The sequence below is a fragment of the Homo sapiens genome, chromosome 5 (genome assembly GCF_000001405.40).
Source record: "Homo sapiens chromosome 5, GRCh38.p14 Primary Assembly".
Lineage (NCBI taxonomy): Eukaryota > Metazoa > Chordata > Mammalia > Primates > Hominidae > Homo > Homo sapiens.
The window spans coordinates 174,200,238-174,206,660 of NC_000005.10; the positions used below are offsets into that span (position 1 = coordinate 174,200,238).

The following is a 6,423-nucleotide window of genomic DNA, read 5'->3' on the forward strand; positions in this document are numbered from 1 at the left end:
GGCGTGAGCCACCGCGCCCAGCGTGTGTGTGCTTTTTTTGTTTGGTTTTTACTATTTATTTATTTAAATTTTTATTTTCGGTTCAGAGGTACATGTGCAGGTTTGTTATACAGGTAAATGCATGTCACAGAGGTTTGAGGTACAGATTATTTTGCCACCTAGGTACTAAGCCTAGTACCCAATAGTTTTTTTCTCTGCTCCTCTCCCTCCTCCAGGTCCCAGTGTGTGTTGTTCCCCTCTTTGTATCCATGTGTTCCCATCATTTAGCTACCACTTGTAAGTGAGAACATGTGATACTTGGTTTTCTGTTCCTGCATTAGTATGCTAAGAGCTCTAGCTCCACCCATGTTCCTGCAAAAGACATAATCTTGTTCTTTTTTACGGCTGCATGGTATTCCATGGTGTATATGTACCATATTTTCTTTATCCAGTCTTGCATTGATGGGCATTTAGGTTAATTTCATGTCTTTGCTATTGTGAATAGTGCTGCAATGAACATATGTGTGCATGTGTCTTTATGATAGAATAATTTATTTTGGGTGTATCCCCAGCAATATTACTAGGTCAAATGGTAGTTCTGTTTTTGCCTCTTTGAGGAATCACCATAGTGCTTTCCACAACGGTTGAATTAATTTACACTCCCACCAATAGTGTATAAGTGCTCCCTTTTCTCCACAACCTTGCCAACATCTGTTATTTTTTGACTTTTTAATAATAGCCATTCTGAGTGGTGTGGGATGGTATCTCATTGTGGTTTTGATTTGCATTTCTCTAATGAGCAGTAATATTGAGCTTTTTTTTCCATACGCTTGTTGGCTGCATGGATGTCTTCTTTTGAAAAGTGTCTATTCATGTCCTTTGCCCACTTTTTAATGGGGCTTTTTTTTTGTAAATATGTTTAAATTCCTTATAGATGCCAGATATTAGACCTTTGTCAGATGCATAGTTTGCAAATATTTTCTCCCATTCTATAGGTTGTCTGTTTACTCTGTTGATAGTTTCTTTTGCTGTGCCAGAGCTCTTTGGTTTAATATGATCCCATTTGTCAATCTTTGCTTTCATTGCAATTGCTTTTAGCATCTTAATCATGAAATCTTTGCCATTTCTTATGTCCAGAGGAGTATTGCCTAGGTTGTCTTCCAGGGTTTTTACAGTTTTGGGTTTTACATTTAAGTCTTTAATCTATCTTGAGTTGATTTTTATATATGATGTAAGGAAGAGCTCCAGTTTCAAGCTTCTGCTTATCACTACCCAGTTATCCCAGCACCATTTATTGAATATAGAGTCCTTTTCTTATTGTTTGTTTTGACAAGTTTGTTGAAGATCATTTGCAGGTGTGCAGCCTTATTTCTGAGGTCTCTATTCTGTTCCATTGGTCTATGTGTTTGTTTCTGTACCAGTACCATGCTGTTTTGGTTACTGTAGCCCTGTAGTATAGTTTGAAGTCGGGTAGTGTGATGCCTCCTACCTTGTTCTTTTTGCTTAGGATTGCATTGGCGATTCGGGTTCTTTTTTGGTTCCATATGAATTTTAAAATAGTTTTTTCTAGTTTTATGAAGAATGTCATTGGTGCTTTGATAGGAATAACATTGAATCTGTAAATTGCTTTGGGCAGTGTGGCCATTTTAGTAATACTGATTCTTTCTGTCCATGAGCATGGAGTGTGATTCCATTTGTTTGTGTCATCTCTTATTTCTTTGAGCAATGTTTTATAATTCTTATTACAGAAATCTTTCGCCTCCCTGGTTAGCTGTATTCTTAGGTATTTTATTCTTTTTGTGACAATTTTGAATGGGATTGTGTTCCTAATTTGGCTCTCAGCTTGGCTGTTGTTGGTGTATAGGAATGCTAGTGATTTTCTATCCTAAAACCTTGCTGAAGTTGTTTATCAGCTTAAGGAACTTTTGGGCCAAGACTATGGGGTTATCTAGATATAGAATCATGTAATCTAAAGACAGGGATAGTTTGAATCACTCTCTTCCTATCTGGATGTCCCTTATTTTTTTGTCTTGCCTGTTTGCTCTGGCAAGATTTCCAAGACTATGTTGAATAGCAGTGGTGAGAGAGGGCATCCTTGACTTATTCCAGTTCTAAAGGGGAATGGTTCCAGCTTTTGTCTGTTCAGTTTGGTGTTGGCTGTGGGTTTGTCATAGATGGCTCTTATTATTTTGAGGTATTTTCCTTTATGCCTAGTTTGTTGAGGACTTCGAAACCATTTTTAAGTTTGTAGTTCAGTGATGTTAAGTATATTCACATGGACTCCCTACCTCCAGAACTTTTTATCTTCACAAACTGATAGTCTGTGCCCAGGAAACAATAACTTCCCTTTCCCCCTTTCCCTCAGACACTGGTAACCACCATTCTATTTTCTGTCTCTGATTTGACTGTTCTGGGTACCTCACACAAGTGGAATCGTGTATTATTTACATTCCCATCAACAGTGAACAAGGGTTCCAATTTCTCCACATCTTTGCTGCCACTTGTTTTCTCTTTTTTGACAGAAGTCACCTTAACGGTGTGAGTAAAAGATTTATAAAACTTTTGCTTTGCGTATTCTTTGTGAACACAAGCATGTCTTTTGCGTATAAACCTCAGGTCATTAAATTAAGCATTAAGTGTGACTTTCTTTAATATTATATCATTATCTAATGCCTACTTTAACTTACCACTCTGCTAAGTGGTGGAAAGGTAATCACAGTGATTATTCAGTGTCCCTTCCTTGCATCGAAGTTGTATGTAACTTCCAGAGAGTTCATAGTGCCAATGTGCCGGATGAGGTGGATGATGAGATGGGCATCTGTTCCTCACTGTTGTCCTATAGGGGCACTTGCTGAGATCTCCTCCTTTCCACCGTTGGGCACATGTGTTACTGCTAAGTCACTGTGTCAGCCAGCATGATTAGTTGCAGATGACAGAATCTACTCCAGTAGTTTAAGCAGAAGAAGATTTATTAGAAGGCTGGAAGTTGCACAGAATATCTGGGAAGGCCTGAGGACAGAATTTAAATGTCTCACTCCAAGAACAACACAGCCAGGAGAGACGCCACCCACTGCAGGACTCACACAGTGGACACGCAGCATGGCCGATGATGCCTGCAGCCTGGCATGACAATTCAGGACTGGATACTATTACCTTCATCGCAGCTGCTTTAAAAGGAGTGGACCTCTCCCCAGCCCTTCTGAAGACAGGATATATCCTCCCCACAAGGCCTTCTTTGGGCCCTGCCACGAATCTGGGGAAAGTAGGGTGTGCTTTGCAACCTAATTTATGGTAAAAGTAGGGAAACTATCAGGGAGTTTGAATAGGCAGCAGAGAGCAGACTACAGACGACATAATTTAAGGTTCCTGATTAAAGGCCGTTTATGCATCTTTGAGCTACTCCCAGGCAGACCCCTGGGGCCTTCTTGGGCTGTCTGTTGTGTCATACTGCATGGATCCCCTCTTCTGGATGTTGTTACCTCCCAAGGCTCTACCCGGAAAAACAGTTATGGTGCCCTCTGCTTTTAGGCCTGGGGTTTCCATCGTCTTCCCCACCCTGGGATTAGAGAGCCTCCCAAGAAGGACAGGGCACAAGAGCCTCCTGAGGGACCCTCTGCCATGAAACTCTCCTCTCTCCTGCCCCAACTTTCATACGCAGGGGTCTCTTGATCTTGTTTTGGTGGTGGGGATCTGGTTCTTTTTTATTTTTTTTTTTTTGACAGGGTCTTGCTCTGTCACTCAGGCTAGATGGAGTACAGTGGCACAATCATAGCTCACTGCAGTCTCGAACTCCTGGGCTCAAGTAATCCTCCTGCCTCAGCCTCTCGAGTAGCTGGAACTACAGGAGGGCCACCATGACCAGCTAATTCTTTATTTTTATTTTTTTGTAGTGATGGGATCTTGCTATGTTGCTCAGGCTGGTCTTGAACTCAAGCGATCCTTCCACTTCGGCCTCTCAAATGCTGAGATTATGGGCATGAGCCATGCCAGGCCTAGTTCCTCTGTATCTATTCATTCTCCTAAATTTATTGTATTGTGTAGAATTTTGCAAGCTCCCCTGGGGGCCTCAGCTTTTAAAACTGAAAGGGCTTGCTTAGCTTTCCTTCTTGGAGGTACTAAGTACAACCTACTCACCCTGGCTGTTTGGGTGAGTGAGGGGACAAGGGCTATGAGGAAATGCAAGGACAAAAACCATCTAAGCACTTCAGCCTATTGTCCCGCTATGTCTAATGTGTCCTCTCTGTGTCTAGTTGGTCATCAACACAATCTCATAGGTTTATACTCTTAGAACAGGAAGGAGGGGACAGTGACACTCCCTAGGGAGTGCAGAACGGGGGCCAGAGCAGGGGCCAGGCAGGTGCACATGTCATCTCCAATCCTCACAAAACCCTGCAGGGCAGGTGTTGCTGCCTAATATCACAGATGGGAAAGACAAGACTCTGGGAGGTAAACTCATCTCATAGAGACTATGCTGTGACGGGGGGGGAGCTGGCACTCTCTCATATCTTTCTAATTCCAAACCCGGAGCTTTTGCCAACAGCTCTTTTGTGAATTCACTCATTTTGAACTTTCCATCATAAAGCAAGAATTCATCTTTTTTAACCATATCTGCCCTGTTGAAGTGGGAAGCCAGGAATGTTACACATTTAGTCTGAAGGCTAAATTTCTTTTTGCATTCTTTAGATAATTCTGATTTTCTGCTCATGCCCTTGGCAGGGGAAGACAGGAGCATAATTAGAACTGTGACATCTGAAGATAAAGGAAAGCTGTTTTTTTTCCCCCACCTGGGTCTGAGCTTGGTATTCTTCGATGTGGAAGCAATGGGGCTGATGGGGGAGGAGCGGAGAACAGTGAGATGCACCTGCTCATTGAGAGCTCTGCTGGCAGCCGGCATTCCTTTCTGCGTTCCAGCTGATCTGCATTCCTGAGCGTGTGGTGGCCATTGCTCATGTTCACCAATGACTGGCTCTCCTCCCCTTCCAGGTGCACAGAACATGGCATTTCTCAACCTCCTGCAGAGGGGCAGGGATGCTGGACCAGTTCCAGTCAATGAAATGTGGATGGAAGTGATCGTAAATTGAAAACACTGTAAGTCAGAAATGCATTTAATCTACCTAATCCTAGCCTACCTTAAACTGCTCAGAACACTTACATTAGGCTCCAGTTGGGCAAAATCATCCCGCATAAAACCTATCTTATAATAACATGTTGGATATCTCGTGTAATTTATTGAATACTCTACTAAATATAAAAAACAAAATTGTTGTAGGGGCACTCGAAGTATGGTTTTTATTGAATGCGTATCACCTTTGCACCATTGTAAAGCCAAAAAATCATAAGTGGAACCATTATAAGCCGGGGACTGCCTGTAGATGGGGCCACGTTGGGAGGGGGTATTGGTGCTGTGTCCCAGTGACATGAAAGGAAAGCAAGGGTATTGCTGGGGAGGAGGATACACAGTCATGAGGAACCTAGAGAATGCCTATCTGCCTCTAGGCACAGCGGTGTGTGGGGTGTGAGAGAGAACAGCCTCCACTGGCAAGGGCCACAGAAGTCCTAACATTATCAAGGCTTAAGGCCGTAATAACATTAGTCCCTGATGGCCCCAAGGTATATTATATGGTGGCTATCAGCACCGGTAGGGTTTAGGGAATCTTGCCAGGTGCAGGGAGATTTCTGAAACTCCCACTCAGTATCATTTCTGGATGTGGATCCTGCAGAGAAGAGGAGACCCCTAGGGAATGGACACCCCCCATCAATGCTGATGGTTTCCTACAGAGGAAGTCTTGCAGAAAGCACGCTGGCTCCTTCTTCAAACCAAATTCTGGCAGATGCCAAAGCCCATGCCTTCCTCCACATTGTGTCAGCTCCTTGGTGAATAAACTCTGGTGGTTTATCCTGGGTTGTAAATTATCTTGCCAGGCACTCTTATCTAAGAGTTGAGTCCTGTGATTTCTTTCAAAGGATCTATTGTTGAGATTTCTAATTTTCAAACATTCTTTCAGAAAGTTGATGGGGTATGATTGCCAAACAAAAGCTAACAAGAACTTATGGCGCCATCAGTTCAGGAAAGAAAATGTCAACGGCTGAACTTAGCCAATGACATCAACCCTACATTTTCACTTAACTAAAGAAAGAATATTTTTAGTCTTTCTGCTGCCTCTTGAAATTCTCTACTGATTTGACTTGGTGAAGGACATCTTGAAAATAGCAAGAACTGTTTATTGAAAACCTATACCGAGGACCTATATTAGTATCCACCAAAATTTATTCTCTTCTTCCAGAGTAGTGGGGTTGAAACTGGGTCCACAGCTGCCCAACGGCCCAACAAATCTCTGTTCCCAGCATCCGCTGATGCTTCTCTTTGGGGCCTTAGGATCTTGGGATGCTTGCTCCATGCCTCAGCTCCAGCCACTCAGCCAACCACCCCAGAATGCCAGCAAC

At 42.8% G+C, this 6,423-nt stretch overlaps 3 annotated features.

Annotated features, from left to right (window-relative positions):
• Nucleotides 3,150-3,650: an enhancer, noted in NCBI's record as "H3K27ac hESC enhancer chr5:173630390-173630890 (GRCh37/hg19 assembly coordinates)". NCBI's record gives its function as "activates a minimal SCP1, AML or CMV promoter by ChIP-STARR-seq in naive H9 embryonic stem cells {active_cell/tissue: H9 hESC(naive)}" and the evidence as "EXISTENCE:reporter gene assay evidence [ECO:0000049][PMID:30033119]".
• Nucleotides 4,587-5,349: an enhancer, noted in NCBI's record as "OCT4-NANOG-H3K27ac hESC enhancer chr5:173631827-173632589 (GRCh37/hg19 assembly coordinates)". NCBI's record gives its function as "activates a minimal SCP1, AML or CMV promoter by ChIP-STARR-seq in primed H9 embryonic stem cells {active_cell/tissue: H9 hESC(primed)}" and the evidence as "EXISTENCE:reporter gene assay evidence [ECO:0000049][PMID:30033119]".
• Nucleotides 5,350-6,111: an enhancer, noted in NCBI's record as "H3K27ac hESC enhancer chr5:173632590-173633351 (GRCh37/hg19 assembly coordinates)". NCBI's record gives its function as "activates a minimal SCP1, AML or CMV promoter by ChIP-STARR-seq in primed H9 embryonic stem cells {active_cell/tissue: H9 hESC(primed)}" and the evidence as "EXISTENCE:reporter gene assay evidence [ECO:0000049][PMID:30033119]".